Below are 24,063 nucleotides of genomic sequence, written 5' to 3'. Positions count from 1 at the left end.
AAAACAAATTACCAGGGTAATACTGGAAATGAAAGCTTGGTAAGAAATATTTTTCAGATGTTAATTTGATTCTTCTATTGAGTCTTAAAGCCACAGTGTCTATAAGTGCACTCTTTATCCCCCCTTGTTTTTATTTTTAGCAGTTACATAACCTTATGTCTCTAAAAACCAATTAAACACCTTCCTGATCTCTACTGGGAGTTTTCCCCAAGTAGTTCTCTACCTAGACTATAACAGGACTACTATTTCATTTACAACTTCTTGCTGGAGAGTGTTTCATCAGAGGTGTTAAGAAAAAGTACTGAAATTAATAAAGGAAGGCAGAAACAAAATAAAATGCAGTTCTCTCTGGACACAGTTCAAGTCTCTGGGGTTGGTTCACAATAAACACTGAGATTCTAGATCTTAGATGAGCAGTTTGCTTCTCCTGCCACAGTCTGTAGGTTCTCAAGAACAGATTATTTCTGAGTACTAGGATATATGCCTAAGCTCCACATCATAAACAGACGCTTCTAAAGTGTGTAAATAATTATTTCCATTAACTTTGCAGATCTAAAAGTAAATCTTTGTTTGCTTGGTCAGGTAAAACTTAAACCGTAACTACTTTGTTTCCATTTTGTCTTCTTCCACTGTTAAAGAGGCAGCAGCCTTGCCCTTTCCAAATTAAGACTCGCAATTCTGCTATTCAAACGGTGGGACTGTGTGTATCCCGGATATGACACATACCAGATGCTGCCAGCACCCTCCACCCCCACGCCTTGCAACGGGCCTGCCCTTTCCATCAGTGGCCTCAGTGGCTTACCGACAGTGTTTATGGGATCCGGTCAGGGTTTCGATCACAAAGCACTCGCCATCATTGAGACAGTATGCAAGGTCCTTGTCTCGGCAGGGTTTGAAGTGCTCGGATCGCTCTGTGGAATATGTCGTCGTATCTGTCAGGGAAAGCACAGGGGGAAACGCTGTCAGCAGTACATTCTGACACCAACAACTCCTGTCACTGGCTCTGGATCTCTGTATGGAGGCCTTCTCATGGGCTCTGACCTCTGGGACTCTAGACAGACAGCTCCAACCCTCCTTGGTACTGACCAAATGCAGCTGGCTGTAACCACTATATTCAATTGTCTTATTTCTCCACTAAATTTTATCTATTGGAGTCACTCTGGAGAAGCCCCATTTGTGGACAAGTAAACACTAAAAGCTGAATGATCCTAAGTCAAACACCCCAAATCCACCCTCATTAATTTCAGTTTTAACAAACATGTTGTATGAAGGATTGAAACAACATTCCCTTCCCTTTATTGCTGCCAAATATAATTAAACATCTGATCAATGTATATTGTGACTGTTCTGTGGAATCCAATGTCAGTTTGGGGGATTTTTTTTTCAGTTACAGCTATAATTGGCTAATAGCTAAGCCAATTATTCTTTCACTTTCTCCTTTTATTATGTAATTAAAATGCAAATGTTCTAAATTCTGAAACAGATTCTCAAATATGAAGAATGTTTCTGGTAAATATTTAACAGGACCAATTATTGCCATTTTTTAGCATATCTTAAACATGCATTCTTAAAATCATAATTACTTACATTTTCAAATTAAGTTATACATCAATATCTGCATCCCAAATATGAGAATAACAATAAATAAGTGCTATCTATAAGATACAGACTCTATTACCACATGTAGACATTGTTCCAATTACAGAGTTTTAAGCAACTATTAGCTCCAATTCCACCACAACATTCAACAAAAAATATACTTAAAAAGTCAAAGAAGAAAAAATTATTCAATGCTTAAGCTTTTAATTTCCTTTACAGAGATTTAGATTAATAATAATATTCAAGCATGGGATATTATACCAGCTTATTAACCGCTCTTGTTTTAATGTGTCTCCCAAATTCCATGTGTTGGAAAATTAATCCTCAAAATCATATGTTGATGATATTTGAAGATGGGGCCCTTTGGGAGGTAATCAGGAATGGATAAGGTCATCAGGGTGAGGCCCCCATGATGGAACTGTTGGCTGTTCAAGAAGAGAAAGAAGGACTGAGTTGACATGCTCTTACTCCCTATCCATGTGATGCCCTGCACTGCCTCAGGGCTTGCAGAGTCCTTGCCAGCAAGAATGCCCTCAGCAGATGCAGCCCCTTGACCTTAGACTTCCCAGCCTCCAAAACTGCAAAAAATAAATGTATTTTCTTTATAAATTACCTAGCTTCGGGTATTCAGTTAAAGCAATAGAAAATGGACTAAGACAGTAAATGAAGGTCACAATGAGCTTCTTCCCTGATTATCGTCACAACTGATGGTGAGCGAGCAGTTTAAAAGGAAACTCACCCCTGTCTCTCCCACATCTAAAAATCCTCATGGGCTCTCCTGTGGGAATAACTTTAAAATCCACAGTAGGGCAAACCAGGGCATGGGCCATCTATATGTTTATCTGTCTGGTCTCTTCTTGCACTCTAAAACTTTATGCAACTTAATTTTCAACTATCATTCTATTTCCCCAAAATACCAAGAACTGTCACACTGCTCCTTCTTCCCAGACCTTCATTCTTTGTTGAAGACACCCAGAAATCCTCAGAACTTAGATGATCTCATCTTGTGCCTCCCAGTGCCTCTTATCACTTTCATCACTGCATTCAACACTGCAAGTAATCCTTTCTTTGTTTTATCTGTTCCTTTCTTCTGTAAGGTCCTTGAGGGCCTGCATGGAGGCTTAATGAGAACTGGTGTTCAGAAAAATATCTCCAAAATCTCTGATCTCTCTAACATCAACAATTAAATGCTATAAATGAAAGCTATAATTAAAAACCTCATTATAATTTTATAAAAGTTAACGCATTTTGTACAGCAAAAAGTGAAGTATAATTTAACATTTATGTTATCATTTTAGTATACTTTTTATAATATTGATAAAGATTGCAACAGCAAGGCCTTCAGATTCACACAGACCCTCACACATATGTTACTCATATTCCACGAGCACTGAAATAAACCACTATTGGTATTGCAATGGGAACTTATGTTTTCCATTTCAAAATATCTGCTTGTTAATACTTTGGCACAAAATAAAGGCTCTGCAAAACACACACATTTTCCATCTTGCAGGAGATTCTCTACAGAAAAGATCTGTTATTCAAGACAGTACGTGATAAACAGTCACACAGAATCAATCTCTCTATGGGAAATATTTAAAATTCAAGAGCTCTGAGCAAAAAATTCAATATGAAACGGTGCACAGTTGACTGCTACTCTGGCTGCTGAAGTATATTAACTCATGATCAGTTAGTTAACTTTTCCTTTAATTTCTTATTATCCATTTATTGATATTCACTGATCATGCTTCTAAGAACAGCTTTCATTAACATAATCTACAGCATAAAAAGTGAGATCCTTATTTTATAATCAGTGGTTTTAACAAGCTACAGACTTCAAGTGCAATACAATGGCAAAGCAATTACAATCAATTAATTTCCATCTGACAACTGCTATCTCTAGTGGTTACCGCCCCATTCTACCAACTGATTTCTCCATCATGTTATCATCTATCAGCACATTACAGAGGATCAGAGACCCAAGTCAATGGCTCTGCAAAAGTCTGGGGTGGGAAAGCTCAGATATCAGGCTTAACATGTACTGAGGCTTTCCATTTCCATAGCTTAAAGAATCTCCAAATTAATTTAAAATGCACATGCTTAACCTTCACAATGACTTTACTGAATTCAAAGAAAACAACATTATTATAACTTTTTAATGACAATATAATAAACAATAATAAAATATTGGGTATGATCATTCTCTAAGTAAATAACTGCAATTATCAATACATTTGAAACCTTAGAATATACCTATGCATTTTACTATATATTATCTACATAGTATTACCCACCTGAAATCACAGAGGCATTGGCTAAGGTAAGTGTAATTCATCATGAGGTGAAATTTTATTCTTGAAAGTCATCATGCAAAATATGTGTATGGAAATATAGGCAAATTCTGGACCCTTAATAAACTCACGAGGTTGCTACGCTAACTCTAAGACCACCTACTTAGATTTTTCTTGACTAAATAATAAGCATACTGTGTCCAAGTCACTCTTACTGAGGTTTTCTATCACTTACAACCAAACAAAGCCTACTAAAGAGATGCTAATAATTTTGGATGATATCCTCCTACATTTGTACATCTGATTAAAGTTCATGTATGTATTCATACATCTATTTGTTTAATTTTCAACATACAAGATACACTACAAAACACATAAAATAGAACATAAATAAGAATGAGCCAAAAATAAAATGTAAGGTGCAATTCTTTATTTTCTTTCTGTGCCCTAAGGTGGCACAGTGTGCTCTAATGTATCCAGCTGAGTGTTTTATTCTGAAGAAGAAACACGGAACATTTGTGAGAATGAGAACATGGATAAGATCTAATGCCAAACTATAAAAGTTATGATCCTAAACAACCTTGGTGTATCTTAGTAATCAAAAACTCTCATCTGTGAGCAAATTCAACACTTTTGGAAGCTTGTTTATATTTTTTAAAGCTATGCCACTTTTAAGACAGTCCAATACACTAAGCTGGCTATGCTATATGGTACTATTTTGGCATGTACTTAATCAAACTTCTGTTTCTAGGAATGTAATTTGGTAAATAATTTGTTATAGAGCTATTGCCTTCAAAACAATTATATGGATGAAGGTTCCTGTAAGTAAACAGGAGGGGCCTTATGTTCCCGTGAATACCAATTTGTATTTCAAGGCTTTCTTTAAGTTCCCTTATTTCAGAGTGGGCCCTGCTATCAGACATCATTCTCTCCACATCCATCAGCTTCTGAAGCTCCCATCTGACTGTCTGACTGGACCATGAGCTTGCTTCCACTGAGCAGAGCAGGTCTTCACATCTTTAATCCTTGGGCTTATGGATGGCATGACACAGAGGCACGGAATAGGAATTTACAGAAGGGAGAAATTTTGGCCCAGCGCGGTGGCTCACATCCATAATCATAGCAATTTGGGAGGCCAAGATGGGTGGATCACCTGAGATCAGGAGTTGGAGACCAGCCTGGCCAACATGGTGAAACCCTGTCTCTACTAAAAATACAAAAAATTAGCCAGGCATGGTGGCAGGCACCTGTATTCACAGTTACTTGGAAGGCTGAGGCAGGAGAATCACTTGAACCCATGAGGTGGAGGTTGCAGCGGGCTGAGATTGCGCCATTGCACTCTAGCCTGGGTAACAAGAGCGAAACTCTGTCAAAAAAAAAAAAAAGGACAACTTTTTTATACAGCATTTTTCTAATTGTTTGTGTTAAAAAGTGGTATCACAGGCCAGGCACTCTGGCTCACACCTGTATCTCAGAACTACAGGAGCCAAGGTGGGAGGATCACTTGAACCCAGGAGTCTGTGACCAGCCTCGACAACATAGGGAGACCCCCATCTATACAAATAATAATAATAATAAATTATTTGGGCATGGTGGCGCACGCCTGTGACCCCAGCTACTCAGAAGGCTGAGGTGGGAGGATCACCTGAGCCCAGGAGGTCGAGGTTGCAGTGAGCTGGTATTGCGCCACTGCACCCCAGCCTGTTTGAGACAGGGCTGAGTGAGGCCCTGTCTCAAAACAGGAAAAAAAAAAAAAAAAAAAAAAAGTGTTATAGTGAACAAAAACTCTATTTTAAAAATTTCTGGGAAGCGAAGTAAGTTAGGATATAAGAAGGGCTCCAAAACAACTTAGAGAAAGAGCATGGAATTTCATTAAAGGAGGGAAAAATCAGCCCAGCAGCATAGAGGACAAACGAGAAGAAAACAAAGCAAAACAATTGGAAAGGATTTTCCAAAAAAAGAGGGACAGGAAGAATAAAGGAGTGTTAGGATTAAGATGAGCAGAGATGGTGCTAAGAAAGGGTTTTCCAAGCACCATGACCAAGGTCTAGGGATCAGTTTAAGGAAGCACTGCTGCTGGCATTAGAAATAGTACCCCATCACTAGGGGCCACAGGGACTGTGCAATTATCTGGATCACTCATCTGGCACTTGTTACATGTAGTTTAATGTGTTTTCTTATTTTTTTTATACGTTTCGGTCTCTATCCCCAGGGAGGTCAGGGAGAGTGCTTTGCTTTTAAGTTTTCTATTCTTTCCACATCACGTAGCATACATAGTAAGTAATCAGTAGAGTAATTAAATGCACAGTGAGAGGTGGTGGTGGTGAATTCATTAAAGGCAAAATGGGAAGAAAATGTTGGGTTGGAAGACAGAAATCCCCACAGATTTTGCAATGAAAGTTAATTTATTAATGAATTGAAACGATGACTGGTTTCTTCCTTAACTACTGAGTTGAACCTGAATATTAACTACTGAGTTGAACCTGAATATTACTTACGGAGGTTTCTATGTTGCTGGCACAATGCAGCACACTGTGCTTATCTTTCCCCTCTTGATGGACATCCCAAAAGCAGCTCAGAATTTGCTTATAGAAAATGGAATTCTTGCTCTTCCTCAAGAAACTTGCACTTTAGCACTCCCAGTCTCAGTTAATGTGACACCACTGATCCCATTGTCCAGGCCAGAAACCTAGTAGCCATTCTCTTGATCCTGCATGCGCAATCACCAAATACTCTTGATTCTAACTCCTAAATATCTTTTGAATTTACCACTTCTTTCCATCTCATCTTACCTGGAATATTCCTTACAGACCTGTCTGTGCACATGCTACCCACCCTAAAATGAATTATTTACAATAAAATCTGTTTCCATAATATATGCAAAAAAAAAAAAAAACCACATAGCAATCAGTCACTGCTGTTCAAAAAATCATGTCATGGCTTATCTCGGCTCTTACGATGAAGACCAAAATCTTCCCAAGCCCTCTGTGTCTCTCACTCCTCATCTCATACATAATAACTGCCCCCCACTTTCAATACACAAGCCACAATTGTTTAAATTTCCCATGTCCCCTCAGGCCTTTGCACATGCTTTGCTCTGCAGGTTGCCACCTTGCACCCCCACAATCCCACAGTTGTCCACAGATTTCATCCAGATAACATATTATAAGACAGAGAAAACTTTAGCAAAAAATAAATTCCCATTGGATATTTCTGTTCTCTACAAAACTCTCTATAGTGTTGCCCAGTAAAGGCTTTCTTCTCTGGGGCCTTTTCACCATTTAGGTCACAGAACTACTCCCCACTCTTTCTGCTCTTTGTCTCTCATTCTTTCAATCATAGCTATGACTGCTACTCATAGTCTTGAGCCACAGATAACACACACGTCTGGGAGGCCTAGCCTTTGAGATGATTTATCAAAGTCTAACAAAAATGAGCCTCACCCTATGGGATATTCTCAAACTTGCTACTAGAAATAATAACCTTCATTATCTCCCTTTGTTTATCCCATAAACCGTATGCTTCTGGAAGATACAAACATGTTATATATCTGTGTATGTGTCTGTATGTGTGTGTGTGTTTGTGCATGTATGTGGGTATATGTATTCCTAATAACTAACTCATCACCTGCTATCCAATAGTTATTCAGTAAATACTTATTGAATGAATATCCTCACACTAACCCTAAATTATGGACTTTTAACTATTGTAGATGAGATTTTCAATATATCCATAGTGACTTCATTCCTTCTAACAAAACAGCCTCCCTGGGAGTTTGAACTACTCTATAGGCTAAGAAAAGCAGGAGTACATTAAGGATTGAATGCTATGTAGAAGTGAAGACAATTGCTAACTGAGTGGCCTACAAATCCAATATGCTGGAGGACGGTAGTAGGGCTTGCCATTGACAGAGAAGTAGCAGACACTTACCTCACATAGGTCAGAAGTGCATACTTATACATTTTTGTGGGTGCAGAGTGGCCTTGTCTCTGCCTTGTTCCATAAAAGATCATGAAGTAGGTTGGTTGACTATTGTGTGTGCTTATTTAGAAATATTATGATCTGGATTACAGCAGGGTCATTTTCCACTTGCTCAAATTTTACCTTACTTACACGTGAGCAGTGAGTAGCATGTATGTAGAAACCCCAATACCTTCTGCTAAGGAAAGAACATGGCCATTTGTAGATGGATCTTAAACTTCAAAGAGAACTGAGTCTATGCTGGTGGGGCCCTTTTCATGCTTCTCCAGCACAGAGAGACCTCAGCTAACAGACTGATTCTATCTTCTGAGTCAGGTGCACTGGGAAACTTGAAAGAGATGCCACCAAAGACTTGAATTACATGGCTCTCCTTCTTCTGACATCATGTTTCCTAAGCAATTTTCTAATTGAAATGTGATTTCCAGCATTAATCTGGATGCTATCCACGGTGGGGATGGTGTATCTTTCTCTACAACAACTTTATTTCCCAAATGTGTCTTTATATGAACTTCTAGTGGATAAAAGTTTCTCACACATAGAAACAGCCTCCTGTCTGGTCTCCCTGTACCTCACACTGGCTTCTACTACTTACTAAGAGTTAACACGGCCGGGTGCGAGTGGCTCACGCCTGTAATCCCAGCACTTTGGGAGGCCGAGGCGGGCAGATCTCGAGGTCAGGAGATCAAGACCATCCTGGCTAACACGGTGAAACCCCGTTTCTACCAAAAATACACAAAAAAATTAGCCAGGCATGGTGGCGGGCGCCTGTAGTCCCAGCTACTTGGGAGGCTGAGGCAGGAGAATGGCGTGAACCCAGGAGGCGGAGCTTGCAGTGAGCCGAGATCGCGCCACAGCACTCCAGCCTGGGTGACAGCACAAGACTCCATCTAAAAAAAAAAAAAAGAAGAGTTAACACAACCACCTCAATAGCACATGTGAGCTCTCCATATTGTGGCTAAAACTCCATTGAGTCTTCATTACACGAGATTGATAAACCCTTTCTAGCTTATTCAGCAATTCCCCACACAAGCCATCAGAGAAGGCTCCCTGGGACTGCACTTCCTAGTCTCTTTCCCACATTTCTTGAGCTCCAATAATACTGGAACACATATGGCGACTTTTAGACTCTATGAATTTAAATGTGCTATTCCCTTTACCTCATACACAGCTACATGTATGTCTCTAACAAATAATTTCTAATTGTTTCAGATTTATGTGAAATGTAAGCACATACTGAAGTTTTCCCTAGCTCCTCAGGTTAGAAGTGGCTGAAAGTATTCAGAGCTCCAGGCACACTTCCTGTTCATCTCTAATACTGTGATGATCACTCTGAATTGCAGTTTAACTGCTTACATGTTCCTTCTCCATACTCTTCTCAAACTAGATTATGGGATCTTAGGGACCTAGCAAGTCAGTCTCTGTATCACCATAATTTATTACAAAGCCTGACACACAATAAGTGCTTAATGCACGCTTTCTGTGAATAAGTATCATAATGGTTGTAACAATGAAAATTATACCAACATCATAGGCATACACAAAACTTCAGAATGATAAGGTAACAGCACCTTTTTGCTCCAAATCTCTGATAATGTTTTTGGAAATGAATGATGAAAAACATATCTATACTTTTGTGAACATACCTGAGGCTAATAATCAAGGTTTTTTTATTTTTTCATGTTCGTGGGTTCCGTGTAAAAAAGCAGTTTTTTTGAGGAGCCAAGATGGCCGAATAGGAACAGCCCTGGTCTACAGCTCCCAGCGTGAGCGACGCAGAAGACGGTGATTTCCGCATTTCCATCTGAGGTACCGGGTTCATCTCACTAGGGAGTGCCAGACAGTGGGCGCAGGTCAGTGGGTGCGCGCACCGTGCGCGAGCCGAAGCAGGGCGAGGCATTGCCTCACTTGGGAAGCGCAAGGGGTCAGGGAGTTCCGTTTCTGAGTCAAAGAAAGGGGTGACAGACACACCTGGAAAATCGGGTCACTCCCACCCGAATACTGCGCTTTTCCGACTGGCTTAAAAAACGGCACACCAAGAGATTCTATCCCGCACCTGGCTCGGAGGGTCCTACGCCCACGGAGTCTCCCTGATTGCTAGCACAGCAGTCTGAGATCAAACTGCAAGGCGGCAGCGAGGTTGGGGGAGGGGCGCCCGCCATTGCCCAGGCTTGCTTAGGTAAACAAAGCAGCCGGGAAGCTCGAACTGGGTGGAGCCCACCACAGCTCAAGGAGGCCTGCCTGCCTCTGTAGGCTCCACCTCTGAGGGCAGGGCACAGACAAACAAAAAGACAGCAGTAACCTCTGCAGACTTAAATGTCCCTGTCTGACAGCTTTGAAGAGAGCAGTGGTTCTCCCAGTACGCAGCTGGAGATCTGAGAACGGGCAGACTGCCTCCTCAAGTGGGTCCCTGACCCCTGACCCCCGAGCAGCCTAACTGGGAGGCACCCCCCAGCAGGGGCACACTGACATCTCACAAGGCAGGGTATTCCAACAGACCTGCAGCTGAGGGTCCCGTCTGTTAGAAGGAAAACTAACAAACAGAAAGGACATCCACACCAAAAACCCATCTGTACATCACCATCATCAAAGACCAAAAGTAGATAAAACCACAAAGATGGGGAAAAAACAGAACAGAAAAACTGGAAACTCTAAAAAGCAGAGCGCCTCTCCTCCTCCAAAGGAACGCAGTTCCTCACCAGCAACGAAACAAAGCTGGATGGAGAATGACTTTGACGAGCTGAGAGAAGGCTTTAGAAGATCAAATTACTCTGAGCTACAGGAGGACATTCAAACCAAAGGCAAAGAAGTTGAAAACTTTGAAAAAAATTTAGAAGAATGTATAACTAGAATAACCAATACAGAGAAGTGCTTAAAGGAGCTGATGGAGCTGAAAACCAAGGCTCGAGAACTACGTGAAGAATGCAGAAGCCTCAGGAGCCGATGCAATCAACTGGAAGAAAGGGTATCAGCAATGGAAGATGAAATGAATGAAATGAAGTGAGATGGGAAGTTTAGAGAAAAAAGAATAAAAAGAAATGAGCAAAGCCTCCAAGAAATATGGGACTATGTGAAAAGACCAAATCTACGTCTGATTGGTGTACCTGAAAGTGATGGGGAGAATGGAGCCAAGTTGGAAAACACTCTGCAGGATATTATCCAGGAGAACTTCCCCAATCTAGCAAGGCAGGCCAACGTTCAGATTCAGGAAATACAGAGAACGCCACAAAGATACTCCTCGAGAAGAGCAACTCCAAGACACATAATTGTCAGATTCACCAAAGTTGAAATGAAGGAAAAAATGTTAAGAGCAGCCAGAGAGAAAGGTCAGGTTACCCTCAAAGGGAAGCCCATCAGACTAACAGCGGATCTCTCAGCAGAAACCCTACAAGCCAGAAGAGAGTGGGGGCCAATATTCAACATTCTTAAAGAAAAGAATTTTCAACCCAGAATTTCATATCCAGCCAAACTAAGCTTCATAAGTGAAGGAGAAATAAAATACTTTACAGACAAGCAAATGCTGAGAGATTTTGTCACCACCAGGCCTGCCCTAAAAGAGCTGTTGAAGGAAGCGCTAAACATGGAAAAGAACAACAGGTACCAGCTGCTGCAAAATCATGCCAAAATGTAAAGACCATCGAGGCTAGGAAGAAACTGCATCAACTAACGAGCAAAATAACCAGCTAACATCATAATGACAGGATCAAATTCACACATAACAATATTAACTTTAAATGTAAATGGACTAAATGCTCCAATTAAAAGACACAGACTGGGAAATTGGATAAAGAGTCAAGACCCATCAGTGTGCTGTATTCAGGAAACCCATCTCACATGCAGAGACACACATAGGCTCAAAATAAAAGGATGGAGGAAGATCTACCAAGCAAATGGAAAACAAAAAAAGGCAGGGGTTGCAATCCTAGTCTCTGATAAAACAGACTTTAAACCAGCAAAGATCAAAAGAGACAAAGAAGGCCATTACATAATGGTAAAGGGATCAATTCAACAAGAAGAGCTAACTATCCTAAATATATATGCACCCAATACAGGAGCATTCAGATTCATAAAGCAAGTCCTGAGTGACCTACAAAGAGACTTAGACTCCCACACAATAATAATGGGAGACTTTAACACCCCACTGTCAACATTAGACAGACCAATGAGACAGAAAGTCAACAAGGATACCCAGGAATTGAACTCAGCTCTGCACCAAGCAGACCTAATAGACATCTACAGAACTCTCCACCCCAAATCAACAGAATATACATTTTTTTCAGCACCACACCACACCTATTCCAAAATTGACCACATAGTTGGAAGTAAAGCTCTCCTCAGCAAATGTAAAAGAACAGAGATTATAACAAACTGTCTCTCAGACCACAGTGCAATCAAACTAGAACTCAGGATTAAGAATGTCACTCAAAACCACTCAACTTCATGGAAACTGAACAACCTGCTCCTGAATGACTACTGGGTACATAACGAAATGAAGGCAGAAATAAAGATGTTCTTTGAAACCAACGAGAACAAAGACACAACATACCAGAATCTCTGGGATGTATTCAAAGCAGTGTGTAGAGGGAAATTTATAGCACTAAATGCCCACAAGAGAAAGCAGGAAAGATCCAAAATTGACACCCTAACATCACAATTAAAAGAACTAGAAAAGCAAGAGCAAACACATTCAAAAGCTAGCAGAAGGCAAGAAATAACTAAAATCAGAGCAGAACTGAAGGAAATAGAGACACAAAAAACCCTTCAAAAAATTAATGAATCCAGGAGCTGGTTTTTTTGAAAGGATCAACAAAATTGATAGACAGCTAGCAAGACTAATAAAGAAAAAAAGAGAGAAGAATCAAATAGACGCAATAAAAAATGATAAAGGGGATATCACCACCGATCCCACAGAAATACAAACTACCATCACAGAATACTACAAACACCTCTACACAAATAAACTAGAAAATCTAGAAGAAATGGATAAATTCCTTGACACATACACTCTCCCAAGACTAAACCAGGAAGAAATTGAATCTCTGAATAGACCAATAACAGGATCTGAAATTGTGGCAATAATCAATAGCTTACCAACCAAAAAGAGTCCAGGACCAGATGGATTCACAGCCGAATTCTACCAGAGGTACAAGGAGGAACTGGTACCATTCCTTCTGAAACTATTCCAATCAATAGAAAAAGAGGGAATCCTCCCTAACTCGTTTTATGAGGCCAGCATCATTCTGATACCAAAGCTGGGCAGAGACTCAACCAAAAAAGAGAATTTTAGACCAATATCCTTGATGAACATTGATGCAAAAATCCTCAATAAAATACTGGCAAACCGAATCCAGCAGCACATCAAAAAGCTTATCCACCATGATCAAGTGGGCTTCATCCCTGGGATGCAAGGCTGGTTCAATATACGCAAATCAATAAATATAATCGAGCATATAAACAGAGCCAAAGACAAAAACCACATGATTATCTCAATAGATGCAGAAAAAGCCTTTGACAAAATTCAACAACCCTTCATGCTAAAAACTCTCAATAAATTAGATATTGATGGGACGTATTTCAAAATAATAAGAGCTATCTATGACAAACCCACAGCCAATATCATACTGAATGGGCAAAAACTGGAAGCATTCCCTTTGAAAACTGGCACAAGACAGGGATGCCCTCTCTCACCACTCCTATTCAACATAGTGTTGGAAGTTCTGGCCAGGGCAATTAGGCAGGAGAAGGAAATAAAGGGTATTCAATTAGGAAAAGAGGAAATCAAATTGTCCCTGTTTGCAGATGACATGATTGTATATCTAGAAAACCGCATTGTCTCAGCCCAAAATCTGCTTAAGCTGATAAGCAACTTCAGCAAAGTCTCAGGATACAAAATCAATGTACAAAAATCACAAGCATTCTTATACACCAACAACAGATAAACAGAGAGCCAAATCATGAGTGAACTCCCATTCACAATTGCTTCAAAGAGAATAAAATACCTAGGAATCCAACTTACAAGGGATGTGAAGGACCTCTTCAAGGATAACTACAAACCACTGCTCAAGGAAATAAAAGAGGATACAAAGAAATGGAAGAACATTCCATGCTCATGGGTAGGAAGAATCAATATCGTGAAAATGGCCATACTGCCCAAGGTAATTTATAGATTCAATGCCATCCCCATCAAGCTACCAATGACTTTCTTCACAGAATTGGAAAAAACTACTTTAAAGTTCATATGGAACCAAAAAAGAGCCCACATTGCCAAGTCAATCCTAAGCCAAAAGAACAAAGCTGGAGGCATCACACTACCTGACTTCAAACTATACTACAAGGCTATAGTAACCAAAACAGCATGGTACTGGTACCAAAACAGAGATATAGATCAATGGAACAGAACAGAGCCCTCAGAAATAATGTCACATATCTACAACTATCTGATCTTTGACAAACCTGACAAAAACAAGCAATGGAGAAAGGATTCCCTATTTAATAAATGGTGTTTGGAAAACTAGCTAGCCATATGTAGAAAGCTGAAACTGGATCCCTTCCTTACACCTTATACAAAAATGAATTCAAGATGGATTAAAGACTTAAACGTTAGACCTAAAACCATAAAAACCCTAGAAGAAAACCTAGGCATTACCATTCAGGACATAGACATGGGCAAGGACTTCATGTCTAAAACACCAAAAGCAATGGCAACAAAAGCCAAAATTGACAAATGGGATCTAATTAAACTAAAGAGCTTCTGCACAGCAAAAGAAACTACCATCAGAGTGAACAGGCAACCTACAAAATGGGAGAAAATTTTCGCAACCTACTCATCTGACAAAGGGCTAATATCCAGAATCTACAATGAACTCAAACAAATTTACAAGAAAAAAACAAACAACCCCATCAAAAAGTGGGCGAAGGACATGAACGGACACTTCTCAAAAGAAGACATTTATGCAGCCAAAAAACACATGAAAAATGCTCATCATCACTGGCCATCAGAGAAATGCAAATCAAAACCACAATGAGATACCATCTCACACCAGTTAGAATGGCAATCATTAAAAAGTCAGGAAACAACAGGTGCTGGAGAGGATGTGGAGAAATAGGAACACTTTTACACTGTTGGTGGGACTGTAAACTAGTTCAACCATTGTGGAAGTCAGTGTGGCGATTCCTCAGGGATCTAGAACTGGAAATACCATTTGACCTAGCCATCCCATTACTGGGTATATACCCAAAGGACTACAAATCATGCTGCTATAAAGACACATGCATACGTATGTTTATTGCGGCATTATTCACAATAGCAAAGACTTGGAACCAACCCAAATGTCCAACAATGATACACTGGATTAAGAAAATGTGGCACATATACACCATGGAATACTATGTAGCCGTAAAAAATGATGAGTTCATGTCCTTTGTAGGGACATGGATGAAAGTGGAAATCATCATTCTCAGTAAACTATCGCAAGAACAAAAAACCAAACACCGCATATTCTCACTCATAGGTGGGAATTGAACAATGAGATCACGTGGACACAGGAAGGGGAATATCATACTCTGGGGACTGTTGTGGGGTGTGGGGAGCGGGGAGGGATAGCATTGGGAGATATACCTAATGCTACATGACGAGTTAGTGGGTGCAGCACACCAGCATGGCACATGTATACGTATGTAACTAACCTGCACAATGTGCACATGTACCCTAAAACTTAAAGTATAATAAAAAAAAAAGAAAGAAAAAAAAAGCAGTTTTTTTAAATGAGAATTTATGTGTTTCTTTATTAAAGAATGTTCTCCCACATCCAAATTTCTTGTCTGGAAAGTATGTATGGATGTGATGTTCAAAATATTTAATAAGTCATATGGAAATTACAGGACTAATCAGAATAAATCTGTACGGTCATAAGAGAGAAGCAGCGTCCTGGAGGTCCCTCTGGGGCTAAATGTTAACTCTTGTTTCTGGATTAACACTGAGGAGATTTGGGAACCCAGGCATCCAGGGTGGCATTGGGGGGACAATTTTCAGGGGGGATTTGAGCAGTGGTTAGTTACCATATAGAATAAAATTATTGTAATTTCTTAACAGTCAATACAATTAGTGAAGTGCACTGCTGTACATCAGGTCTACTCTCATGGTATAAATCTGTCTTTAGTATAATGTGAAGACAGATATGCGATGCCTCCAGCTTTGTTCTGGTTGTTTAGGATTGCTTTGGCTATTAAAGCCCTTTTTTGGTTCCACATGAATTTTAGGATTTTTTTTCTAATCCTGTGAAAAATGACATTGGTAATGTAATCAAATGGTGTTGAATATGTACATTGCTTTGGGCAGTACAGTCATTTTAATGATATTGATTCTTCAAATCCATGAGCATGGGGTGATTTTCCATTTGTTTGTGTCATCTATGATTAGTGTTTTGTAGTTTTGCTTGTAGAGATCTTTCACTTCCTTCATTAAATGTATGCCTATGTATTTTTTTGTAACGATTGTAAATAGGATTGAGTTCTTGTTTTGGTTCTCAGCTTGATTATTATTATTGGTGTTTAGCAAGGCCACAGATTTTTCCTTGTTGATTTTGTATCCTGAAACTTTACTGAAATCATTTATCAGTTCTCCATTCTGTACCATTTATCTATATGTCTATTTTTTTATTCCAGTACCATACTGTTTTGGTTACTACAGCATTGAGAGCCCTAGATTTGATAAAGCCACATACCTATGATGAACTGACCTTTGACTAAGTCAACAAAAATATACACTGGGGAGAGGACACTCTATTCAATAAATGGTTCTGGAAAAATTGGATAACCATATGCAGACGGATGAAACCATACCCATATCTCTTACCATATACAAAAATTAACTCAAGATGAAATTAAAGACTGAAATGTAAAACTTGAAACTGTAAAAATCCTTGAAGAAAACCTAGGAAAAACTTTACTGAACACTGGCCTAGGCAAAGAATTTATGACCAAGTCCTCAAAAACAAACATCATAAAAACAAAAATATATAAGTGAGAGTTAATTAAACTAAAAAGCTTCTACAAAGCAAAATAAATGATAAATACAGTAAACAGACAGCCTACAGAATGGGAAAATATTTGCAATCTATGCATCTGACAAAGGGCTAATATCCGGAATCTACAAGGAACTCAAACAGCTCAACAAGAAAAATAAATAACTCTATTAAAAAGGGGGCAAAACACATAAACACACACTTTTTAAAAGAAAACATACAAGCAACCAATAAACATATTAAAAACATTCTCAACATCATTAATCATCAGATAAATGCAAATTAAAACCACAGTGAGATACCATCTTACACCAGCCAGAATGGTTAATATTAAAAAGTCAAAAAACAACAGATATTGTGAGGATGTGGAGAAAAGGGAATGCTAATACGTTGTTGATGGCAGTGTAAATTGCTACAACCTTTATGGAAAACAGTATGGAGATTTATCCAAGAACTAAAAATAGAACTACCATTTGATCCAGTAATCCCACTTCTGAGTATATACCCAATGGGAAAGAAATCATTATTATATCAAAAAGATATCTGTACTTGCATATTTTTGGCAGCACTATTCACAATAGCAAAGATATAGAATCACCTTAAGTATTCATTAATGGATGATTAATGAGTGTGTGTGTGTGCATATATATAACATAAATACCATATTCCATATATATATATCATATAGTATGATATATATACATACACACACCAGAAATACCATATACCATAAATACCATAAAGTACTACTCAGCCATAAAAAAGAAATCATACCATTTTATGAAATCTAGGACTCTCAAGGCTTAGTAACCAAAACACCATGGTGCTGGTATAAAAATAGATACAGATCAATAGAACAGGAACTGGAGGCAACGATCCTAAGTAAAATAACTCAGAAACAGAGTAAACTCAGAAACAGAGTAAAATACTTTATATTCTCACTTATAACCAGGAGCTAAACAAAGGGTACACATGGACATTTAGTGGTAAATAATATACACTGGAGACTACAAAAGATGGGAAGGTGGGAGGAAGGAAAGGGTTGAAAAACTACCTATTGGGTTACCAAATCACTTTTTGGGTGATGAGTACACTAAAAGCCCAGACTCTAACGCTATGTAAAATATTAATGTAAGAAATCTGTACTTGTACTCCCTAAATCTATAAAAATAAAACAGATATATACATATAAAATAAATAAATCTGTTCTTAGGACTTATAGTTTTAACAATTCAAACCAACAACCTTGGGATAAGAGAAACTTTAGAAGTCAGCATGCAGTAATAATGCTTGGAATAAACCTATTAATCCAATATAAATATCATTTTCATTTTACAGAAATGAAACTGAACTATGGAGGGACCACACAACAGTCTTATTATTTCACACCTCATCCATAGAAAGGCAAGGAAAAGTCAAAAAAGCCCAACTCCATAAAGAAATCTCTTTAATATTCTGCATTTCCAACCGTGCTGAGTTTTGGACTCTTTTAAGCTACACATATGCAAGCTTCTCCTTGCCAAACACTCTATTTATCACTCCAGAATAAGTAAATAAGAGCAATTAGAAGGCATCGTTTTTTAGTAGTTCATTCATCTTGGAACCCATCTACCCAACACCAATGTTAAAAATATTTTTTATTTTTAAATTTTGGGCATACATAGCTGGTGTATATATTCATGGGGTACATGAGATGCTTTGATACAGGTATGCAATGCATAATAATCACAACATGGAAAATGGGGTATCCATCTCCTCAAGCATTTATACTTTGTGTTACAAACAATCCTATTACACTCTTAGTTATTTAAAGTGTACAATTATTATTGACTATAGTCACCCTGTTGTGCTATCAAAAAATAGGTCTTACATTTTCTAATTTTTTTTTGTACCCATTAACCATAAAAATAGGGAACGTTTCACAAATTTGCATGTCATCCTTGTGCACGGCCATGACAACTTTCTCTGTATTGTTCCCATTTTAGTATATGTGCTGCCAAAGCAAGCACCCAACACCCATTTTTTTGAGCACACACTAAAATACTGTGCAAAGTAGATATTGGGGGGAGGTAGGTGAGTGCAAAAATAAAGACAGTGCTTGACTCAGGGAATTTCTATTACTTTCTCTGTCACATTTTCTTTTCATTCCATCATGGCTTTGAATTAATGTCTAAACATTGACTTGATTCTTCAGATTCCTTCATGAAAATGAATATCACTCACTTTAATTACTTAAAAATCTTATTTTTCCCCTTAATAGTTTTAGCTCTTATTTGAATCATTTATTCTAGTGTTCAGATATCCAAGCACTTTCTTCTCCACCTGGGGTATAAAGAAAGGATAGATATTGCAACACAAGAGCCTGGCTTGAAGCCCTGCTTATGCATTGGCTAACTATGTCAAGTGTCATGGCAGAAGTAGAAAAAATATTCTAGGAGAGTTCGTGGAGAGGGCACTTTTGTCAGTAGTGGTGTGGTGGCTCCGCATTTTATGCAAGAAAGACTTAGAGAGTGGGTTGAGGTGGGAACTAGACATATCTTAATGCAGCCTTTGCATAGGAAATATGTTTTTACTTCTATGGTGTTCTCATTTGGATGGGTTGAGAAACTGAGATTATAACAGGACTAACTCTAACACTAGCCCCAACCACCACCCCCATATTCTTAGTATCTTGTCTGCAAATCACGGTGCAAACAAAGTCAATCAAGAGAAGTTTCCTCCTCAAAAAATAAAGCCAACTGTCAAAGACACTTTCGAGAGTATTCACTCTGGCTGACCGGAAAAGTTATGAAAATTATATTAAAGTACTTTAAAAGATGGATAGTTGTTTAAGTAAAAGGATGATATCTTTAAGCTGTCTTATATCTCCAGCCCCCACCCTAGATGGCATATTGATAGCTGCACGACAGAAGATAAAGAAATGCTAAATCAAGTGGAAAGGATACAACTTCCTAGACATGGCAGATGAGAAGTGCACACAAGCAGGAGAGGAAATGCAGGCATGCAACCAAAGTGTTAAGGACCAAGAAGACAAAAAGGGACTCCAGAAATATATTAAAAGTCAAAAGAGCACTTGGAAGCTTAAGACATTTGAACCTCAACATGTTCAAACTTTAAAAAAAATAGAAATTTAAAAATTTTTAAACAGAGAGAAAGTTACTGAAGTGGTTTGGCTGTATCCCCACCCAAATCTCATCTTGAATCGTAATCCCCATAATCTCCGTGTGTGGAAAGGACCTGGTGGGAGGTAACCAAATCATGGAGGCAGCCTCCCCCATGCTGTTCTCGTGATAGTGAGTGAGTTCTCACAAGATCTGATGGTTTTATAAGCCTCTGGCGTTTCTTCTGCTGGCCCTCATTCTCTCCCCTGCTGCCCTGTGAAGAGGTGCCTTCCGCCGTGATTGTAAGTTTCCTGAGGACTCCCCAGCTATGTGGAACTATGAGTCAATTAAACCTCTTTTCTTCTTAAATTACCCAGTCTCAGGTATTTCTTCATAACTGTGTGAGAACAGACTAATACAGTTACTGACTAAAAATACAGGAAATCAAGAATGTAGCATTAACCCCTAAAATGTCACATTTGTTTAAAACAGGCAACTAGAATGTATTCAGTCATTAAGTCATTTATCATTTTGAAAACATCCAGGTCTTAGGGATACGCAATCAGATTATAAAACAATTACATTGTTCTCCAAATCTTCTTGCATAAAGTACCCAATACATCAATCATTTCACTTATTTGAAGAAGTATCATCCTGTGCACCCCTGTTCATCTTCTTCATGGCAGTGTTGGTGTCATCTTAAGCAAAAGTGGGAAAGGCTTGTTTCTTGGTACTACATTGGGACTCTGTGTTTTAGCCCCAGATGAAATTTAGTGTGCCGAGTTCTAAATATCCAACTTAATGCTTTGTAATGTACTTTTGCAGATCTGGGTTTGCATTACTACTTTACTACTTGCTGGCATTTTGAACATGAATAAGGTGAATATATGAAAGCATATAATTCATGGGGTTTCACGAAGCCTAAATGAGAAAAGAAGACAATGTGTGGTAGTGGGATTTTCACAGTGCTTGGCACCAAGCACATCTTTCCTTTCTTTACTAAATAAGTCAGCACATATTTATTGAGCATCAACTGTATATCTAATTCTGTAATATCGCTGTATGATGCCAATTAAAGTCATTTATTTAACAATCTATCATGGAGCATCTAATATAAGACTGCTGAGTACTGTATTGATTCCTGGGGTGGAAAGTGAGGAAATCAGTTCAGATAATAAGGCAAGTCTGCCTCCCAGGAGCAACAAGGCATGCGTGACTGTCATGTACCCAATCTACACTCTGCTAAGTGCTGGGCAGGGGAGAGTGGTGTCTAGGTGGCTAATATACTCATAATGTTTTCTAACTTCTAAGCACTTGTTTAGAGATACTGGATGTGGTTATAGCATTTTAAAAGATAAATAAGCCCTCCACAGGGCGGTTCATGGATTTCTCATGTGCTATTACATAGACTAGATCAATAAAGAGTGGGATGCCCCCATCAATCACTAGTAAGGTGATGATCTCACAAGTGCACTACCTACAACTTTACTATCATATTGACATCAGAAAGAGAATTGATCCTTTTCTGCATTATTCCATAAAAGTTTTTTATGTTTTTACTTTTTTCCAGAGAGGAGAGGGGCACACTCATGCTTTATTCAGTCATGTTTGTCTTATTCATCTCTGTAAGATGTACATCTTCATATCGATGCACATGAAGCATATGTACATGGGACAAAGGGAAGGCGTGCGGATCTTATTTGACTCTTGGCTTAACCATAGCCAACTATTTTCTTTAGCAAGTTCTTAATTTATCTGAATCTTATTTATGTAATATGATTAAAATATTACTTATTATTCATTTTTATGAGTAAAGACCCCAATGCATTATAGACATGCAGTCAATATAAATTTTATCATACATCTTCTCTTCTTTAAAATTTTCCTTTCTATTTGAATAGATATTTTTCCAAAGAATATATACATACATCCAACAAACACATAAAAAGATGTCCAAAATTGTTAGTGTTTATGTAAAGTAAAATCAAAACTACAATGAAATATCACTTCACACCCATTAGAACGGACAACAATGAGTATTGGCAGGAATGTGGAGAAATAGGAATAGTCATACAATGCTGGGGAAAGTAAAATGGTGCAGCTTCTGCAGAAAAGTTTGATCATTCCTCAAGATGTTAGAGTTACCATATGACCAAGCAATTCCACTCCTCACATAAGAGAATTGAAAGCAAATGTTCATACTTGTTTATGAGTGTTTATAGAAATATTACACATAGTAGCCAAAAAGTGGAAGCAACTCCATTGTCCACCAAGTGATGAATAAACAAAAAAGTTGGTACATCTATCCAATGGAATATTATTCACTAATAAAAGACATTATTTACTGATGCATGCTACAGCATGGGTGAACCTTGAAAGCATTATGCTCAGTGAAAGACAGTAGGCATAAGTCTGCATATTACATAATTCCATTTATAGGAAATGTCCAGAATAGGCAAATCCACAGAGACAGAAAATAAATTAGTGGTTGCCAGAAGCAGGAAAGAAGAGTGAAACTTTATGTTCCTATCTGTTAACCTTGGTTTCCTATAAACCCTTTTTTATGTTTCCAGTTTAGTAAGAAGTAAAAGGGGACAAATATGGCTCAGTAGTTAAGATTCTGCAAATAAATAACAGTCAATTTCATGTTATGCCTTTGCAAACCATTTGAGAAAAAAAAAGAAAAACCCTCACATACCTCCCAAAAACTCTTTGCCTTATTGACAAACTTGACTCCCAGACCTTTGTTTCAGAACAAATATTATTGAGAAAATTGGTCCATTCTCTGTGATTGTTGGAAAGCAATTAAAACAAAAATCAAAGAGCTATAACCATCTGTTCACTTCCAATTCTTATCTCTCCATTTGCAGAAATAACAGCTATGTATTATACTGCTTGTGGGTCATTCAATATTTTGAGTATGAAAGATAACGGTTGTCTTTAGCCTGGCCAACATGGCAAAACCCCATCTCCAGTAAAGATACAAAAATTAGCCAGATGTGGTGGTGGGCACCTGTAATCCCAGCTACTTGGGAGGCTGAGGCAGGAGAATCGCTTGAACCAGGGAGGCAGAAGTTGCAGTGACCCAAGACTGCACCACTGCATTCCAGCCTGGGCAACAGAACAAGACTGTAAAAAAAAAAAAAAAAGAAAAGAAAAGAAAGAAAGAAAGATAATGGTGTGGTGGTCTTTGAAAGTTATTGCTGAGAAAATTCGGAATTTTTAACAGAAATTCCAATTTAAGCACAGATAGTAGGCTAGAAATCTACTATCTAACTTTGCCTCTCTGATGGTGGAAGCCATGAGCTCCCCTCCTTTTGTGTTGTCTGAAGCTGTTTCCCAATCTGCACTACAAAGTAGGAAAACAGTCATTTTCTTTGATATCTTAAAGTTTGTGAAGAGGGTGCACTCTCTGTCCCTTCCACACTGCACTCCATATCTCCTTTTCTCTTCTACTGGTGTGACTTTTTTTTTTGGTACACACCTAGTAAAATGAGCTTTTGCCCATCCTCCCTGGCGAACCCTTCACAAAGAATCAGATTTAGTTCATGTAGAGAAGTGTTCAGTATACTATGGTCCCAGGCCCAAATCTGGTCTGCCACATGTTTTTGTAATTACAATTTTGCTGAAACAGTGCTGAGCTCATCTGTTTATGCATTGTCTATGGCTTTTTGAGCTGCAATGAGTTGAGTAGTTGTGAAAGAAACCATCTGACCCATAAACTCTAAAATATTTATTATTTGACCCCTTACACAATTTACCAACACTTGATATAAAACATTACTGGGGAAAGTGGCTTTCTCACAGATTATATATTTGAATTACTAGACATTTTTGTCATTATTTATTTCAGTGCTTTAGTGTGATATGTTTCAAAAAATATATGTAGAAGATGTCTAACCACAAATTAACCACTAGGGTATTGATGTAAGACAGACTTGATTTTGATCCTAATTCTGATATTTTTACCAGCTGCATGATGTTCATTAAGTTCTTAACTTCTTTTTTTTGTTTGTTTTTCTTTGTGTTTGAGAAGCAGGGTCTTGCTTTGTTGCCCAGGATGAAGTACAG

The 24,063-nt window shown here is 38.4% G+C and overlaps 1 protein-coding gene and 1 pseudogene across 25 annotated transcripts in view; both read right to left on the bottom strand.

The window, feature by feature from the left end:
* NRG3 (neuregulin 3) overlaps positions 1-24,063 on the bottom strand; it is a 1,111,986-nt gene that overhangs the window by 627,509 nt on the left and 460,414 nt on the right. For all 25 annotated transcript variants that reach the window (NR_163251.1, XR_001747009.3, NR_163252.1 and 22 more), the window contains one exon: positions 803-932. Coding sequence is in view for 21 of the 25 variants with exons in the window: in XM_017015573.3 (XP_016871062.1) it covers positions 803-932 (130 nt within the window). In the remaining 4 variants the exon portion in view is untranslated. The remainder of the gene's footprint in view (positions 1-802; positions 933-24,063) is intronic.
* RNU6-441P (RNA, U6 small nuclear 441, pseudogene) lies at positions 18,795-18,900 on the bottom strand (annotated as a pseudogene).

This window comes from Homo sapiens, chromosome 10 (assembly GCF_000001405.40).
Source record: "Homo sapiens chromosome 10, GRCh38.p14 Primary Assembly".
Classification (NCBI taxonomy): Eukaryota; Metazoa; Chordata; class Mammalia; order Primates; family Hominidae; genus Homo; species Homo sapiens.
The sequence above is the reverse complement of the archived record's forward strand: the minus strand, read 5'-3'. Positions and strand labels throughout refer to the sequence as shown.